The sequence below is a fragment of the Homo sapiens genome, chromosome 4, assembly GCF_000001405.40.
Source record: "Homo sapiens chromosome 4, GRCh38.p14 Primary Assembly".
Taxonomy (NCBI): domain Eukaryota; kingdom Metazoa; phylum Chordata; class Mammalia; order Primates; family Hominidae; genus Homo; species Homo sapiens.
The window spans coordinates 176,860,222-176,880,906 of NC_000004.12; the positions used below are offsets into that span (position 1 = coordinate 176,860,222).

General features: G+C 36.9%; 1 long non-coding RNA gene across 1 annotated transcript; it reads left to right on the top strand.

Annotated features, from left to right (window-relative positions):
* Window positions 1-15,480: 15,480 nt before the first annotated feature.
* LINC02509 (long intergenic non-protein coding RNA 2509) lies at window positions 15,481-20,379 on the top strand. Its single transcript, NR_149104.1, has 2 exons — window positions 15,481-15,632; window positions 19,846-20,379. It is a non-coding gene; the product is annotated as a long intergenic non-protein coding RNA 2509 (long non-coding RNA).
* The last annotated feature ends 306 nt before the right edge of the window (window positions 20,380-20,685 follow it).

The window sequence follows — 20,685 nt, forward strand, 5'->3', positions numbered from 1 at the left end:
GTATAGAAGATAAGTGGTCAACAGGTATATGAAAAAATGCTCAACATCTCAAACCATTAGATAAATGCAAATCAAAACCACAATGAAATATCACTTCACCCCAGTTAGAATGGTATATTAGCCCATTCTGCCATAAAGATACTACCCAATACTGGGTAATTTATAAACGAAAGAGGTTTAATTGACTCGCAGTTTTGCATGGCTGTGGAAGCCTCAGGAAACTTACAATCATGGCAGAAGGGGAAGCAGGCATATCTTACATGGGGCAGGCAAGAGGAAGTGTGTGTGAGCGCAGGAAAAACTACCGTTTATAAAACCATCAGATCTTGTTAGAATTCACTCACTATCATGAGAACAACAGCATGGGGGAAACTGCCTCCATAATCCAATCACTTCCCTCCTTCAACACATGGGGATTACATGTCCCTTTCTGGACATCTAGGAATTACAATTAGAGATGAGATTTGGGTGGGAACACAGAGCCAAACCATATCAAATGGCTACTACCAAAAATACAAAAAATAACAAATAATGGCATAGATATGGAGAAAGGGGAACACTTAAACATTGTTGGTGGGAATGTAAATTAAATATTAGCCATTATGGAGTCTGATTATGGATGTCCCTCAAAAAACTAAAAACAGAACTACCATAAAATTCTGCAATTCTACTACTGGACCCAAAATGATCCAAAAATCATTTTGTCAAAGAGATATCTGTACTCTCATGTTTATTGCAGCAGTAGTCACAATAGCCAAGATATGGAACCAACCTAGGTGTTCAACAATACCTAGGTTGATGAATACGTAAAGAAAATGTGGTAGATACACAATTGAACATCATTTAGCCATTAAAAATTGAATGAAATCCTGTCCCATGTGGTGAAACGGATAAACCTGAAGAGCAATATGTTAAGTGAAATAAGCCAGACACAGAAAGACAAATACCACATGACCTCATTCATATGTGGAATCTAAAAGAGTTGATCTCATAGAAATAGAGAGTAGAAAGATAGTTAACAGGGCATGGAAAGGGTATGGGTAGAAAGAGCATAGGAATTTATTTATTTATTTTTTACAATATAGTTCAACAGCCCAGAAATATCAGTTAGACGCTTTCTTCTTCAGGTAACAGAAACATAAATTACTGTGGCTTAAAGAATAGTTTATTTTTCCTTATATACTAAGAATTCTATCTGTGGTGGCTGCAGGAGCAGGTTCCATATCTCATTGAAGTCGGGATGATGTCTTGGTGATTTCTTGGGCCATTTCCTCATAGTTAAAAAGATGAGCTGGGCGCAGTGGCTCATGCCTGTAATCCCAGACTAACATGGAGAAACCCCATCTCTACTAAAAATACAAAAATTAGCCAGGTGTGGTGGCACATGCCTGTAATCCCAGCTACTCGGGAGGCTGAGGCAGGAGAATCGCTTGAACCTGAGAGGCAGAGGTTACGGTGAGCTGGAGATTGCGCCATTGCCCTCCAGCCTGGGCAACAAGAGTGAAACTCCGTCTCAAAAAAACAAAACAAACAAACAAACAAAAAAGCGCTGCTGCAACTCCAAGTTTCATATATGCATTTAAATAAAGAAGAAGGAAAGGAGGTATAGACCATTTTTTAAATCAAAAAAAGCAAAAGCTTTCTGCCAGACCTCAGAAAGTGAAAACAACAACAAACCCAAACAAACTAACAAACAAAAAGCAAAAGCTTTCACAGAAATTTCCTATTATATTTAACTGGCCAGAGTTGTGTCATGTGAAACTCATAGATGTGAGAGAATCTAGGGAAGTGAACATTTAAAAACTTCAGTTTTGATATCAGAGGTAGAAAAGGGAAAAAAGACTTAGAAATAGGCATTGAATAAGCCCAACCCATAGGGCCATCCACATCAGTTGTAAAGGTAGGGAACACAGATATATGTATAGGTCCAGATATGGGTTTTTCAGGTGATCCCACAAAAGACAAATAGAACAAAAATATTAAGGAACTAGTCAAGAAAGTGCTTGAATTGATAATTCATAGAAGTTAAGGGAATCCCAGAAGAGGATTCATGTATAGGGAAACAATAAAGCATCTAGATTTTTTAAATATGTGGAAGAACAAAGCTGACAAAAAAAGCAATGGAGAAAGGACTCTCTATTCAGTAAGTGGTGCTGGGACAACTGGCTAGCCAAATGCAGAAGACTGAAACTGGACCCCTACCTTACTCCGTATACAAAAATTAAGTTGAGATGGATTAAAGATTGAAATGTAAAACCTGAAACTGTAAAAACCCTGGAAAACAACCTAAGCAATATCATTCTAGACATGGGAACAGGCAAAAATGTCATGACAAAGATGCCAAAAACCAATTGCAACAAAACAAAAATTGATAAATGGAATATACATAAACTAAAGAGCTTCTGCACAGCAAAAGAAGCCATCAACAGAGTAAACAGACAACCTACAAAATAGGAGAAAATTTTTGCAAACTATGCATCTGAGAAAGGTCTAATATCTAACATCTATAACAAACTTAAACAAATTTATAAGAAAAAATGACCCTACCAAAAATTGGGCAAAGGACATGAACAGACACTTTTCATACATACATGTGGCCACATACATGTGGCCAAGAAGTATATGAAGAAAAGCTCAACATCACTGTCCATTAGAGAAATGCAAATCAAAACGACAGTGAGATATTATCTCACACCTGTCAGAATGGCTATTGCTAAAAAGTCAAAAAATAACAGGTACTGTCAAGGTTGTAGGGAAAAAGGAATGTTTATACACTGTTGGTAGAAGTGTGAATTAGTTCAGCTATCATGGAAAACAGTGAGGTGATTTCTCAAAGACCTGAAAACAGAATTACCATTCAACCCAGCAATCCCATTACTGGGTATATACCCAATGTAATATAAATTACTCTATCATAAAGATACATGCACGCATATGTTCACTGCAGCACTATTCACAATAGCAAATAAATGAAATCAACCTAAATGCCCATCAATGGTAGACTGGATAAAAGAAATGTGGTACATATACAACATGGAATACTATGCAGCCATAAAAACGAACAAGATCATGTCCTTTGCAGGAACACAGATGGAGCTGAAGGCCATCTTCTTTAGCAAACTAGTGCAGGAACAGAAAACCAAATACCACATGTTCTCACTTATAAGTGGGAGCTAAAAGATGAGAACACATGGACACATAGAGGCCAACAAGAGACACTGGGGCCTATCAAAGTGTGAAGGGTGGGATGAGGGAGACGATAAGGAAATATAACTAATAGGTATTAGTCTTAATACCTGGGCAATGAAATAATCTGTACAACAAACCCCCATGACACAAGTTTACCTATGTAACAAATCTGCACATGTACCCCTAAACTTCAAAGTTAAAAAACCATGGAAGAACAGTAGTTGTGAGATTTACTAAATGAGAGAGGTAGATGGGATAGTGGTGTGGTCAGGAAGTAAGAGTTTGAATTTGCGATCTCAGGTGTTGGAGCTTACTATCCAAATTAGTGATCGAGCAGTAGAATTTAATCAACATGGAAAGCAGGAGGAAGCCATTGTATGTTTTGGGGGAAAAGAAAGTAACATGAAAGCTTTTCTGTGAGTACCCTAATATGATAGCAGGTTGCAAAAATGTTTTGGAAGTAACAAAGAATAGAACCAATTATGGAAACCCAAGTTATGGTTTCTGCTTTTATACTTTCTTCCAGGAGAAGTAACTATTGTCCAATAAGCATCATTTGTGCTTTATAATTTATGTGCTTTTTTCATATCACAAAGTCTACCTTTAAGCCCTGCCAGTTAGATGCCAGTCACATTGATCCCACATTGGATCATGGAATGGATCACGGTTGATCCTTTTCAAGAACACCTATCCTCGAGCTGTGTTGTCAATAAGTCTGGTGCTCAGTAGTTTAGCTCTAAGACATGTATTGGTGAATAAGATTGAGCAGATGTGGAAGGCCAGGGTCTTACTTTGTTTTAAATTAAGGGATCTTCTGATTAAGGAATCACAGCTTGTTTTCACAAATATAGTTTTGAAAGGGGATTCCATATGATGACACAGTTCCCAGACCATTTCTTGTAAATCTCAAATATTGTCAGTAACTGGCATCTAGTATAAAACCAGCAGTGCTTTGTAACTATAGAAGGATGAGTGGAAACTTGTCTGAGGCAGAAAAGAAAACGAAATTGACTTGCATTTGCAATCTTTTTGGGTAAATTCATTCAGTTGGTTAGAGAAAGATCCTAATTTGCTGAGATTGTGAAATCACCACTTACTGTTAGTTTTAACAGGGAGACAAATTTTCAGTTCCCTTAATCAACATGTCAAGTCTGTATATTTAAGATATATTTTTAAATTATACTTTTTATTATTTTTTCATAAAAGTTATTTTATTAGAGAAAAACAAAACAACCACAGCAAACAACCTTAGTTCAGAATCTGTTCTCAGTGACAAGGTTTCATTAGCTCAGTTACCTTCTGTTTAGTGGAGTTAAACTAACTGTTTCCGGGGCATGCCTTTCCCCAGATTTTATAAAGTTAATGAATGTAAGATGATGTAAAGGCAAGCTGCTCAACTGGGGAAGCTCAAGTTTTAAATAAAATCATTTTAAAGGCTATTTTTATTAGCTAAAAGGGAAAGACATTTTCACAGGCAGATCTAATTTCCTTTAATCTCTCCTGTTCAGTCTCTTCTCATGAGTTTTTCTAGAATTACTGATTGTCAGTTCAGGTCCGTTTTCCTTACACTCTCTTCCCTAGTCTCTACTTTAATTTTTCCATCTAAATAATTGGATCTTAAACTACAATAAATCCATTTTAACCAAACTTATTTTTCTTTGTAAAGCTATCAACAGTGTTGTCAATAATAGTTGTAACTTTAGAAGTAGCACTTTTTAGGTAATAAACTAGGAAAAAATAATAAAACAACTTCTAAGTATAAAAACTGGGCTTATTTTAGCTACTGCTGTTTAGTAGATTGAATCATTATCAAAAAAATCTTACTAATTCTCTCGCCTCAGAACTTTGCTGTGATCCCTGTCAATCCTATACAGTAAGCCCCAGAATCTCATCTCCAGAATTCTTTTCCTATTCAATTTACTTTTATTATTTTGGCCTCTTTCCTCTGCACCCACTGAACCCCAACCAAGTAAATTTTAGAGAAAAAGATGATGATTTCTTTCAACTTTTTTTCTGTTTTTATATCTTTTCAGTCATCCTTGTAGCTTCTGCAACTTATTTTCTCTGTTTAACGCATCAGAGAAATTTTCATCAAAAATAAAACCTGTCTTCTATAAAGCATCCCTAATTAAATGGAAGTAAGACATAGTTTAAAATATCAAAAAGATACATACAGCATATGCCTGTGGTTCCAAAGCAACAGAATGAAAAGTGGGGAGTTCCACCCATCTATTTGGAAATTTTTACTAGTTTGTTTCATTTTGTTTTTGCTGAGTTGATTGATTTGGCAATTTATTTTATGGTCTGGGCAAGGCTCTGTTTTCACATTGCCAACCAACTGGTCGATCCATTAAAGAATCACTCTGATGAATTTGTTCATGTCATGAAAACAAAATAATTTGTTCATAGAACTTTTTCTTTTTAAGTCAAAATGTTGGAGATCATATTTATATCAAAACATGTGCAATGTCTGTTTTTGCTGCAACAAAAGCATTTTTAAACAATGCTGTAGCTCTCACAGCATTTCTTTAGATATATAATTGTTTGCTTGTAGTGTATTCATTTCTTCTAACTTTGTGTTTACAAAGAGCTTAACACATTGTAGAAGCTTAATAAAAATGCATTAGGTTGATAATGATATGCCTTTTCTTGCTGTTCTTACTCATTAAAGACTTTAAACTGCTGAACTGCATGTTTTAAAATTGCTTTCCAGGCCAGGCACGGTGGCTCACACTTGTAATCCCAGCACTTTGGGAGGCCAAGGCGAGCAGATCACTTGAGGACAGGAGTTCAAACCAGACTGGCCAATGTGGTGAAACCCCATCTCTACTAAAATACAAAAATTAGCCAAGTGTGGTAGCACATGCCTGTAATCCCAGCTAATTTAGGAGGCTGAGGCACGAGAATCGCTTGAATCCAGAAGGCGGAAGTTGCGACAGAGTGAGACTCTATCTCAAATAAATAAATAAATTAAAATAAATTAAATTAAATTGCTTCCCAGATTTTTGAAAAACAAGCACATTCTGAGTCTTCCGTCTCCTATACACGAATATTTCATTTTATGTATTGACAATGATTTACTCAGAAGTTCTTCAACATATGTTGGTTACGTGCATTGAAACTTTACCTTTGCTATATTTCACTAATCTTTACAATCCTCACTGAGATATCCAATATCCAAACTGAGGCTTAGAGAGATAAAATGAATTATCCAAGGTCACATATTTATTAACTGACAAATCTTCACTCTATCGTAAAGTGTTTCCTAGTTGTCTGCAACTGTTATCTCCCTTTGTTTAATCTTTTATATGATTTAGTGTTTGTGGAATTCTTTGAAAAATGAGATAAGTGTATTGAATTCTAGAATTGGAAGGGGTATCACATATCATATTTTGCTAGTAAATTTTTCTCATTTCTTGCAATAAGAGAAATATCTTCTTCATCTCCCCCAGTAGCATCTGTGGAACCTCAACTCTTAGCTGATGATCTCACTTCATATTCTCCTGGAAAATAGAAGTTATCAGATAATTGTTAATCTAATGTCCCCACTACCAAATCCACTGGTCAAGTTAAATCTATCATGAACTTTATGAAGATAGATGAATTAATTCTATCATTCTATTTTTTTTTTTTTTTTTTTGAGACTGGGTCTCACTCTGTTGCCCAGGCTGGCCTGCAGTGGCACAATCTCAGCTCACTGCAACGTCTGCCTCCTGAGCCCAAATGATCCTCCTGCCTCAGCCTCCTGAGTAGTTGGGACCATAGGTGTGCATCACCACATGTGACTATTTTGTTTTGTTTTGTTTTGTTTTGTTTTGGTGGAGACAGAGTTTTGCCACGTTGTCCAGGCTGGTCTCAAACTCCTGAGCTCAGGTGATCCACCTGCCTCAGCCTCCCAGAGTTCTGGGTTTACAGGCATAAGCCACCATGCCCAGCCAGGTCTATCAATCTTTTTAACATAGTTTTACATTTTTTTCTTGAGAATTTTTTTTTTCTTTTAGCTTTTGTGAAATTGCCTCCTGCCTCACTGGTCATTCTTTCTTTGTCTCTTTTGCTGCTTCCGACTACACTGCCGTATCAGTAAGTGTTGGACTGTCCCGAGGCCTGTTCTTTGGTCTCTTTCTCTAAACACACTCATTCCTTGGAAAAGCCCATCTAGTCCCACAGCTTGGAAATCCACTTAGGTGGATTATACCTGATGTTATCTTCAATCCCTTAGCCCTCCCTTAAGCTCAGACAGATATCAAACTGCATACCTGACGTTTTCACATTGATGTTTAATAGTTATCTAAAATATCCAAGACAGGACATGTGATTCCCCCAACTCCTGACAACCTCATTTTCCTCTACTATGCCCATCTTCATTTATGACACACTCCCTCTAGTCATAGATCTGATCATTACCTGATACTGCTTCTCTTCTTTCTACTTCTAAATTTAATATACCAGCAAATATTATTGGCTGTACTTAAATAGACATCTTAAACTTGGCTAGTTAACCCATCTTCCTTGCTGCCATACCAGTCTAAGCTGCCATCATCGATCACCTGCATCACAACAATAGCTTTCTAGCACTTTCCTTGTGCTTTCACTCCCCTAAACTATGTTCTCCACACCAAACTCAGTCACCACATCATTAAACAACTACTTATTGAGAATGCACCAGGAATTAGGTACTGTCCTAAGCATTGCAAATAAAATAGCAAAACAAATTCAACCAGAAATCTCTTCTTTCTTTCCATTTGTATTTCCAGGGGACACTCAGTTTATATATATGTGTGTGTGTGTGTACATATGTGTTTGTATATATAGATAAATAGTATATTTGAGACAGTGATTTAAAAATAAAGCAAGATAGAGAAAGTAGAGTGCAGGGTGAGTGGAAAGCTATTATTTTATATAGGGTTATGAAGAAAGGATTTGCTGATAAGGTTATATTTTATACAGAACCTGAAGAAAAGTGGGAATAAGTCATGTATCTGGGGAAAGAGCCATTTAGGTAGAACCAGCATTAGGAGAAGGGGCCTCACAGCAGAGTCACCTCGGTGTTTTCAGGGAACACGAAGGAGGCCAGTTGGACAGAGTGGGCAGGAAGGCATTGTAGTGGAAGTAGCAGAAGACAAATCAGATAATTATCAGTAGGTCATATCATGCAGGCTCTCCTATAAACCATTATGCCTTTTCATTTAACATTAAGCCAATGAAAAATTTTTGAGCTACAAAACAACGTTTTTACCATTTAAATACATTACTCTGGCCACTATGTGGAGAATGAGTGGGAAGGGTAAAGCAGGCAGGCAGGCCAGCTGAGAAGTTTGCATCATCATAATCTAGGTGAGAAGTTTTGCATCACCGTTATCCAGATGACATAATGGTAGTTTAAACCAGGTTGCCAGGGCTGTGGGAGGGACAACTGGTCAGAGTCTATGTACATTTTGTAGGTAAAGACTACAGCTTTCTTCTGGTGAATTGTAGTGAGACACCAAGGCTCTTGACCTGAGCAACTGAAAATGCTCTTATTAATGAGATGGGGAAAACCATGGACGGAGTGGGTTTTGAAAGAGAAAATAGAATTTGGATTTCAGACAGGAAATGTCTGTTAGACCTTTAAGTGAATTCTAGTAGATATTTATGTAAGTCAGTATGAACTTCAGAAGAGAGCTGGGGACTGCAGATAATAATTTATGAGATGCCAATGTACAGATGGCATTTAAAATTTAACTTGGATAAAATTACTTAGAATCTAAATATAGATGGGTGAAGGAGAAATGAATTCCGGGGCACTCTAATATCTCGAAGATGAAAAGAGGAGGAGTAGTCTACAAAGACATTATTTGTTAAATCTCTACTTATTGATTGATACACTTTATTTATATTTTGTTATAGGTTGTGAATGTCTAGGTCTTATCCCTGTTTTCCCTTTTCTTCTACTTCCTGATTAATAATTAAAATGAATCATCATTAAATTTATATAGGGATTTACTGCCTTCTATTTATGATAACATATTTTTTAAAATCCCTTTAAAATAAATATTATTTATAAGGTAAAAAACACAAACATGATTGAGGCATTTAAAATAAGTAAGACAGAGAGACAAATCAAAAATATTCAATAGTGGGGAAAAATAGTATAAAGGAAGTTATGTTTCTATACATCCACTGATAGTCAAGTTCCATATTCATATACTCAACAATAGGCAAAAATTGTAGAGTACTAGCAATGTATGTTCATAAGAATTATACAACTCACGAGTTTTTGACCTGAGATCTTACCATCGGGAAGTCCCTTTCAATAAATCCACCAATTTATTGAAATGGTATGCATTATTTTTGCATTTAAGAGCATTTTTTCAGAAGAGAGAGGGGTGCATAGCTTTATTCACATTTTCTTTTCTTTTTTTAATTTTACTTTAAGTTCTGGGACACGTGCAGAATGTGCAGGTTTGTTACCTAGTTATACATGTGCCATGGTGGTCTGCTATACCTACCAACTTACCATCTAGGTTTTAAGCCCCACATGCATGAGGTATTTGTCCTAATGCTCTCCATCCCCTTCCCCACCACCCTCTGACAGGACCCGTTGTGTGATGTTCCCCTCCCTGTGTCCATGTGTTCTCATTGTTCAACTCCCACTTATGAGTGAGAACATGTGGTGTTTGGTTTTCGGTTCCTCTGTTAGTTTGCTGAGGATGATGGTTTTCAGCTTCATCCATGTCCCTGCAAAGGACATGATCTCATTCTTTTTTATGGCTGCATAGTATTCCATGGTATATATGTGCCACATTTTCTTTATCCAGTCTATCATTGATGGGCATTTGGGTTGGTTCCAAGTCTTTGCGATTGTAAACAGTACTGCAATAAACATACATGTGCATGTGTCTTGATAGTAGAATGATTTATAATCCTTTGGGTATATACCAGCAATGGGATTGCTAGGTCAAATGGAATTTCTGGTTCTAGATCCTTGATGAATTGCTACTCTGTCTTCTACAATGGTTGAACTAATAATATACATTCCCACCAACAGTGTAAAAGTGTTCCTATTTCTCCACATCCTTGCCAGCATCTGTTGTTTCCTAACTTTTTAATGACTGCCATTCTAACTGGCATGAGATGGTACCTCATTGCAGTTTTGATTTGCATTTCTCTAATGACCAGTGATGAAGAGCTTTTTTTCATGTTTATTGGCCACATAAATGTCTTCTTTTAAGAAATGTCTGTTCATGTCCTTCACCCACTTTTTGATGGGGTTGTTTGTTTTCTTGTAAATTTGTTTAAGTTCCCTGTAGAGTCCGGATATTAGACCTTTGTCAGATGGATAGATTGCAAAAATTTTCTCCCATTCTCTATGTTGCCTGTTCATGCTGATGATAGTTTCTTTTGCTCTGCAGAAGCTCTCTAGTTTAATTAGATCCCATTTGTCAATTTTGGCTTTTGTTGCAATTGCTTTTGGTGTTTTAGTCATGAAGTCTTTGCCCATGCCTATGTCCTGAATGGTATTGCCTAGGTTTTCTTCTAGGGTTTTTGTGGCTTTAGGTTTTATGTTTAAGTCTCAAATGAATCTTGAGTTAATTTTTGTATAAGTGTATGGAACAGGTCCAGTATATGATTTCTGCATATGGCTAGCCAGTTTTCCCACCACCATTTATTAAGTAGGGAATCCTTTCCCCATTGCTTGTTTTTGTTAGGTTTGTCGAAGATCAGATGATTGTAGATGTGTGGTGTTATTTCTGAGGCCTCTGTTCTGTTCCATTGGTGTATATATCTGTTTTGGTACCAGCACCATGCTGTTTTAGTTACTGTAGCCTTGTAGTATAGTTTGAAGTCAGGTAGCATGATGCCTCCAGCTTTGTTCTTTTTGTTTAGGATTGTCTTGACTATACCCCTAAAACATCGTGAACCACTCTAAATATACAGCTTTCAAATAAATTTCACATTTCTTCCAAGTAGAGCTCACTGGTAACATTAAAAACTCAAATTTATACTCAAAAGACACTGGGGATAGGGGAACAAAAGGAATAAGAGCCAAATTGTTACTGATTTTCAACAGGTACATTTGAAAGAAACAGGGTTAGAGTTGTTATTAGGGCAGTAGTGATTAGATTGCACAAATAACTGGGCAATGTCAATTCTCGGTATTCTGTGTTACCATTTCAGTTCTCAGTTTTCTGTTTGAAAAAGGACTTAAATTTTTCTTCAGCTGATTTTAGTTGAACATCCCCACTAAATATGGTAGAATGTGAAAGGCTATTTTTAAATGTAATAAACCATAAAAAATGCTTATGGTCTCAGAAATTCTGCTTGTCCTCTTAATGATGCACACGTTGGACTGTGAGCTTGTGGTAGAATGGAGTTAGACTTTTGATAAAGGTCAAAATGTTAATAGGACTTTTATTTTGTTTCTTTGTAATCCACTCTAAGGTTTCTAAAACTCAAAACTCTATAATTAAATTTATCTATTGAAATTCTAAATTTTTGTCGATCGTCATGATTCATAGATATTCTTACACGAAAACAAACAAAAAAGACTCCAAACAATGCAAAACAAAATATTAAAGCACAAAAGAAGTAATTAGACTAAAAATGGTACGTTAACTTTGATTACTGATACCACCGGGAAAATACCTACTTAAACCTTCTAAGCAGACCTCAGAAGACACTCTGTAATCTAATGAAAATTAGTTTTATAAAGTCAACAGGAGTCCTATTATAAAATAGAAATGTATGAACAACAGAGTCCACCATCTTGGCTGTTGTCTTGAAGTCATCTACAACGATGAGCCCTTCACGATGTTTTTCTGAATGTTCTCTACTGGACTTCCATTCAGAAATAAAAGATTTGGCAGATGGAATATTTTCATTCTTAATTTAATAAACTATATGTCAGAATTTTTGTTGTGTGATGCCTTTTGCCATTTTTAGTAGATAGTAGCAGCTGTAGAATTAATTAATGTGTACTTACTTCTGAGCCAAAATATGAAAAACAGAAATGATAACCCCTAAATTCTCTTACTTTGCCAAATGGAGTATCTAGAACCATGCCAAAAGTGAATGTTGAGAGAAAAAAAAAAAGAGAATAAAAGCTCTCTAAGCAGCTGAAATATTTATCGAAAGGCCATTATGCTATGTCTTTCTGCTCTTCTCCGAGAATCTATCAGACAAATGGTTGGATAATAGTGCAGACTTTAGTTGACTTCCTGGTCCACAGAAAGTAAGTCCCACAGTCACATAACGAAAGCAGGGAAGTAGGAGGTGTTAGGGAATGTATGACTGTAGTGTGGCTAGGGGAGGGGAGGCAATTCATAGTCTGAGAACAAGGGGAAAAAATTAGAAACAAATTTAATTTTATAATTGGATTTAAGAACCACAAACCCAAAACAGTTTGGAGCTCCTTAATACAAGTTAAAAATACCCTAGTGGTATTGAAAGTAGCACAGAATACAATTTATGTTATAATGATGTTCCTGGTTTATTCTAAAATTTGACCATATTTAATATTTCTGTTTAACCACGAGAGAAACGGTCAATGCTAATGATTCATACCCTGAGAATCAGTCACCTATTGATGGAAATAGCCAACTTGGGAGAGAGACAGACTAGATTTTACTTTAAAGTCAGCTATATTTTATATCAGTGCCCTCCAATAAATAATTTATTTTTCTTTTCCCTGCCTTCCCCGCCTTCTCTGCCTTCCCTGCCTTCCCTTTCTTCCTTTTCTTTCTTTCCTTCTTTTTCTTTTCTTTTTCTTTCTTTCTTTCTCTTTCTTTCTCTCTCCCCTTCCTTCCTTCCTTCCTTCCTTCCTTCCTTCCTTCCTTCCTTCCTTCCTTCCTTTCTTTCTTTCTTCCTTCCTTCCTTCTCTTTCTTTCTTTTTCTTTCTTTCAACTGGGTCTCTTTCTGTCACCCAGCCTGGACTGCAGTGGCACAATCTCAGCTCACTGCAACCTCCAGCTCCAGGGTTCAAGCAATTCTCACGTGTCAGCCTCCCAAGCAGCTGGGATTATAGGCACCTGCCACCATGCTGGGCTAATTTTTGTATTTTTAGTAGAGACAGGGTTTCACCATATTGCCTAGGCTAGTCTTGGACTCCCGGCCTAAGTGATCTTCCCACATCGGCCTCCCAAAGTGCCAGGATTACAGGTGTGAGCCACCATGCCTGGCCATATACGTAATTTATAATAGACACATTAAGTAAAATGAAGTAAGTGAAATTACTTTGAATAATATATTTTCTTTAATTTAATATATGCCAAATTTTATATGAATATATAATCAATATTTTAAAATATTTATGAAGTGTTTTACAATATTTTGGTATTGAATCTTTGAATCTAATGTATGTTTACACTTACAACAAAAGTATCTCAATTTTGGTACTAAATTATCACCTGAAATGTTTGATCTGTTCTTAGACTATATAAAATTTACTGTTGAAAATGTAACTATGTGCCCAAATTCATCCAAACACGCTTAAAATTTTCTAATAACTGATGCAAGCATTAGTTTTTAAATAAAATTTAAGGCAAGTAAACTTAAATAATATCAAAAATTCAGTTCTTGGGTTGCACTAGCCACATTTCCAGTACCCAATAGCCACATGTGGCTAGCACTGCAGTCTTTGATGGTGCTGTCCTGTGTGGATGTCTTTGGACAAGATTCTACAGCCCCAGTAAAAATGGGATAGCAAAACCAAAGAGTCAAGGTTTTGAATAGTTAGACATAATATTTAAAAAGAGTCTATCATATACTCATGACTCAATGAATAAGGAATAAATATTTTCATACAAAATCATTAAAAAATGTTAAGAAAATGAGTTTTAGATTTAAATAAAATTCATTTACCTGGGATACATTGCCCAGTGAGACCTGATTAATAAGATCTTAATGGATAAAATAAATGTCAGGTGATACTGAAAAAGATGTGTGAATGTACATGAGAAACTGACAGAGGAGGTGAATATTTGGAGTAATATTCAGAAGGTCGCTAGATGGTTTAATTTTCTTTTTTGGAAACTTCAATTTCAAGGGAGCAGTAAAAGGTAATCTTTAAAAAATAAAATTATTAAGCAGAGATAAGACACTATCTGATTAATAATTAACTTTGTAAAAAGGGGCAATATTTTATCCTGCCTTTCTACTAGGAAACTGTATAATTAAAACCACACTATATGCTATTATGTATGGCAATTTTAAGATTATATCTCTGGACATATACATAATAAGCAAGTTATTTTCAGTGCTCTCATACAGACATGGCGCTTAACTACTGAATGGTGGAAATTTTGTTTTAAATTATTTAAAATTATATTTAACAGAGGTTGCATATAATTCAATTGTAAACTTGCTTCTTACATAACTTTACCGTTTCTTCTTTTAGCTTTAGTGTAAAATTAGGCAAGGCAGAAACTCACATTATGGAAGTTCCCCTGAGAAAAGTAGTTTTCTAAAAGTATTTCTCTTTGTTTTCTTGTTCCCAATAGCGAAACGTTTTTGTAAATAATGGCCGAAAACATCACGTAAGATTTGCAGTATTTAATTCCCTTGAGATTAAAAGAATATTTTCCTTTAAATTAGTGGTAAGTTTTATCACCTTACATATACACAGATTCCTAGATAAATCCATTGTATGATTTTCAAAATACATCTTTCTGATATATTTTTATATTTGATCCATACCTCATTTTTTTTTTCCGGGCCTGCAGGGCCTGTACTATTACTGTGGTTTTCTAGATGAGTAAAATCAGGCATAGTGAGGTTAAGTGACTTACCCACGGTGGCTTGTTGACAATAGGGCTAGAGCCAGAACCCAAGCTGAGAAGCCAGTATTTTATCCGCAATTCCTTAGAGCTAAGTTACAAAGTATTTTTAGTATTTCCACTCGCTCCATGTCATTTAAGCCAACAAATAATGATTTACATAAGGCGATAAAATAATGTATTCTACAGAGACAGCAGGGCTTGGATAGTTTTGGAGAAAGAAACAAAATCTCTTAAAAACTGACCTCATTGTTTGAGCTTCTTTCCAGGAAACTTTTCTACATGTACTAATTTTCTTGACCAGGTTCATAAAGCCCTGACAAGTTTATATTCTCTGTATTATTTTTCTTCTGAACCTTCTGGGGCAGTAAGAGAGCAATGATGCTTGCTGCAAACATAGGCTTTAGAATCTGACAGAGATCACCTCCCTCTGACCTCAGTAACACTGGCCCCTGCTCAGGGCCTCAGGCCTTTGTGACTCAAATGCAATTAGAGATTGAGAAGCACTTCCATCTGTGTGCATGTGGCCACTTGTGATGCAAGACAGAGGCAGGACTGAGAAGACGAGAGGTGGGCTTCGTTCCTGAGAATATCCAGGAGTCCAAGAGATCTAAATTGGAAGATGGCCTTCCAATTTAGGTCAGTTTCCAATTAAGAAGGCCAGGTTTTTATGAAGCAATATTTGTCAAGGTAAGAGTATGATATGGTTTGGATGTTTGTCCCCTCCAAATCTCATGTTGAAATGTGATTCCCAATGTTGGAGGTGGGGTTTGGTTGGAGGCATTGAATCATGGGAGTAGATCCCTCATGAATGGTTTAGCACCATCTCCTTGGATGTAAGTGAGTTCTCACCTCAGTTAGTTCATGTGAAATCTGGTTGCTTAAAAGAGTCTGGGAACGCCCCCTTCTCTCTCTCTTGCTCCCACTCTTGCTATGTGACATGCTGGCTCCCCTTAGCCTTCTGCCACGATTGCAACCCTCCTGAGGCCTCACCAGAAGCAGATGCTGGCACTATGCTTTGTGTACAGCCTGCGGAATCATGAACCAAAACAACCCTTTCCTTATAAATTACCCAGTCTCAGGTATTTCTTTACAGCAATGCAAAAACAGACTAACATAGAGTATATGAGATATTTTGCTCAAAATTTTTTTGTTTGATTTGCTAAGTATTCAGACCTATGGAATATGAGTCTCCACCTATAATTTTGCCCTGATCCCTAAAAAATGTTGGAGGCAGATCCTGCAAGCAGAAGAGCATTTGAATTCTAAACTACTTAAACAGCTTCATAAGCTTAAGCAAACACCTTCTATAGTTTTATTCTTCATCATCTTTAAAATATGGACAATCAATAATAGTATTGGCTCCTTAGGTATAATGGTAGATGTGGAGTGTTCAGCTTAGTGTTTAGAGCATTTAGTGTCTTCTTCTCCAACCATGAGCAATGATCAATCTTGCTTTTCATGGGTTTAATGCTGATTCTTGTTGCCTTGTGACATTTGATTGAAATTATATATAGAAGAAGGTGAAGCTGACTTGACTGAGAGTGGATGGATCACTTCTGAGCTGCAGAAAGAATGTTAACTGATGCACAGTCATAACCTGGAGTTAACTGAACATGTCTTCATCTATGACCTAGTGTAGGACCAGAGTGAGTGACACAGCCACATCCAGCATCATGACCAGATAGATGATGGACCAACAATATCCATCAGGGTGGATAGAATTCCCTTCCTATTCCTGGGAGAAAGGAAAGCACCTAAAGAAGCAGTGAAAGGCATGGGAAATTCTTTCTTGTCCTCTGGGTCTGAAGTCCTATGACTTCTGTCAGACTTTGCATATCTCCTTGTCTTCCTAAGTGGGGAATGTGGGAGATCCTAAAGCCTAAGACCCAAGAATAACAAAGTAGAGGGAAAATGTTCTTAGTGAGATGGGAGTTCCATGAAATGTCCAAAAGGAGAGGAAAAAGTAGAATTAAGGAAAGCAAGAGAGGGAGTCAGGGGAATGTAGCATCCATTGGGCTACATTGAAGAAAGTTGGAGGTTGTATTAGTCCATTTTCATACTGCTATGAAGAAATACCCGAGACTGGGTAATTTATCAAGAAAAAGAGGTTTAATGGACTCACAGTTCCACATAGCTGGGGAGGCCTCACAATCATGGCAGAAAGTGAAGGAGGTGCAAAGGCACGTCTTCCATGGCAGCAAGCAAGCGAGTGTGTGCAGGGGAACTGCCCTTTATAAAACCATCAGATCTCATGAGACTTATTCACTATCACCAGAACAACACAGGAAAACCCACCCCCATGATTCAATTACCTCCCATCGGATCCCTCCCACAACACGTGGAGATTATGGGAGCTACAATTCAAGATGAGATTTGGGTGAGGACGCAGCCAAACCATATCAGAGGTAAAACTCTCTGCTAATTCCTGGGAAATGTGACAGTACATCTCTGAGGAAGTATGACAAATAAGGAAAATGCATGTGTGTGTGTATGTGTATATGTGTGTGAGAGAGAAAGAGACAGGCAGGGAGAGAGAGAGAAACAGAGATGGAGAGTTATACACGCCTTTATCCGTTTTCTACTTAGTGTGTCTGCGAGGTTGTTTGTGTGGGTTTATAATATTGGTGTCGGTAACAGGTATTTAACATTTGTGAGCTCAGGGGGAACTTTTAAAAACACAATTCTAGCACAAAAATCTTTATAAGAAAATATTTTATTTTTAATTTTCACACAGAAATGTTAAATGCTAGTGCAAAAACTTTCTAGATATATCTCTAATAGCTTTCACCAAAAATATATTAATGAAACTCTTTCTGTCATCTTGGGATTTTTCTCATAGTGAATAGACTACTTATTTCAAGGAAGACTTCTAACTTGAAATAAGATTATCCCTCTGTGACTACAGCATGAATCAGTGCCATTTATTAAGGTGTTAAATATTATTTTAAGCCTAGTCTTTGGACTCCAGTTTTGTGACAAGCCACTCAGGTTGGAGGAAAATTTGCTCAACACTACATCCAGAAATTAAACTTGAAATTTTCATTTAATTGGGCATGAATTCAAGTTATTAATATTTAGAGTGTTTCTCCCCACTTGATATGGTTTGGATCTGTGTCCTCACCCGAATCTCATGTCGAATTGTAATCTCCAATGTTGGTGGTGGGGCCTGGTGGGAGGCAACTGGATCCTGGGGATGGATGTCCCCCTTGATGTTCTCCTGATAGTAAGTGAGTTCTCATGAGATCTGGTTGTTCAAAAGTCTATGGCACCTCCCTACTCTCTCTCTTCCTACTGCTCTGGCCATGTAAGATGTACCTTCTTCCTCTTCACCTTCCGCCATAATTGTAAGTTTCCTGAGGCCTCCCCAGCCATGCTTCCTGGACAGCCTGCAGAACCATGAGCCAATTAAATCTCTTTTCTTTACAAATTACCCAGTCTCAGGTCATTCTTTATAGCAATGAAAGAATGAACTAATATAGACTAATATACCCCTCTAATATACAACATGTTTGAAATATGGTATAGGAAATTAGCCTTTTGCCCCAACTATAAAAATTTTATAATCAAATAACAAATTAATGAACTTAATAGTCATTGACAAAATAATCAATGATAACATACCAACTTTAGCCCATAGATTTGAAGGTGACATCTTCACTGTATGTACCCATGGAAGGCTAGTCCCATAGCCCTGCCCAGGTCTTTCACTGTAGAGCTGAAATGGTGAATAGATAGCCTCAGTGGTTTTCACTGAGGTAAACACTAAATTAGTGAGCACTAGAACCATGCTACTTTGAAATTGTTGTTATGTGAGGCAATAACTGTCCTTATTTTTTAGACTGCTTTCAATGGGCTTTATATAGCTTGAAGTTGTAGGTAACGTGCTTCATAAAACTAACCCTTACCAAAGAACGAGCTAGTGCAACTATCACCCCATTTCTAAATGTTTGCTTTTCTTATATCAAATAATAAATGCTATTAATGCCAATAAAGATTACTAAAACTATATACTAATATGTGTTGCTGATGATACCATTTTCTAATAACTATTACTATTTAATATTTTTCTTATTACTGTCAAATTGCTTACTCTGCTACACTCTCTTCCAGTGTAGTTTTATCACTTTGCATTCCTCACAGCAATGTGTGAGAGTTCCAGTTGCTTTGAATCTTTGATAGTAATTGCTATTTTAAAAAATAGGTAAGCAAAAATTTTAAAAATATAATCTAACACATTAATTAATTGCAGTTTTCAATATTATTAAAATGTCAATTCTCTCCAAGGAATATGGAGATTTAATGCAATCCCAACCAAAAGCACAAAAGACTTTTTTAAAAATAGAATTTGACAAGGGGACTCTAAAATGCATATAAATGGAAATGGCAAAAAACTGCTGAGTCACTGTTGAGAAACAGAGCGTTGTTCTACAAGATACACAGACTAATATTTAAACTACAGTATTTAGCATATGTTGTGTTGGTGCAGGGATAAATAAAACAATGGATAAGAACAGAGAATTCTGTTTAATTCAATTCCCAATTGAATAACCAATAGAAATGCATCCATATGTGCACCCAAAGATATGCACAAGAAAGTTTCTGATATAATTTTTTTTTAATCCTAAGATTTATTGGTCCTTACTTAGGGAAATATCTGTTGATGCCTATTAGCATTAGCTTATTAATCCCACACAGCATCTTTCCAAGGTAAATACTATTAACTATCCCATTTTATTAGGTTGGTGCAAAAGTTATTGCGGTTTCTGTCATTAATGGCAAAAACTGCAATAACTTTTGCACCAACCTAAACTTAAGAAGGAACTGATGTTTAAAACAGATCCACAGCCCAACAACGCACAAACAGTGTGGTGGAATCTAACTCAGCAATCTCTGATTCCAGAATTCAACTATCAACTTGCTGGTCCTCTACTTCCCGAAACTCTCCAGCCTACATTTCTTCCTCTTCTTCGGTTTCTAAACTCAAACTGACTTTGGAATGAAAGGGAGCAGCTGCTGAGGTAGGAAGGTCGGAGGTGGCCCTCCAAAAGCCTCTTTTCTGGAAGCTCCGCTGCCAAGGGCTCGACTGGAGTCCCAGGACATATTCAGAGGCCGCCAGACCCCTGCATGGAGGCCCCTCCCTTGCAGCTCCTGGTTACCATGATTGAATGATGTCCTGCAGCTCCGAGCCTCAGCCACCTATGTTGTCAAGGTTTCCTCTGTGAAAGCATCCAAAAACTCTGCCAGCACCTTCTTCTTTCCTTTTTTGTTTTCCTACCAGGGCCAGGCCAGGCTCTGCTGGCCATTTCCGATTAAGCTCCTCAGAAGGCATAGAGCCACTCACACTCAGAATTATTTAAAATAACACTAGACTGCAAATGCCCTAAATATCCATCAGAAATAAATGGATGCATAACATTGGGTGAAAGAAGCCATACACAAAGGTGTATACTATATGATTCAAGTCAAGAAATTCTTCTGTTTTTTTAACAAACACAACTAAGGAGCCGTAATTGTCATTACCTTTGGGAAAGCAAGAAGATGTGGGGGCTTGGAGGAGTCACAAGGGAGGCTTCCAGTGGTAGTCACATGGGTCCCTCCTTTTCACTAATTCATCAAATAGTGCCTTTGTGTTTTTTCTAAATGTGCAAGCCATTGCATTAGTTTCCTAGGGCATCTGTGACAAAGTACCACCAACTGAGTGGCTTAAAACAACACCAATTTATTCTCTCAGTGTTGGAGG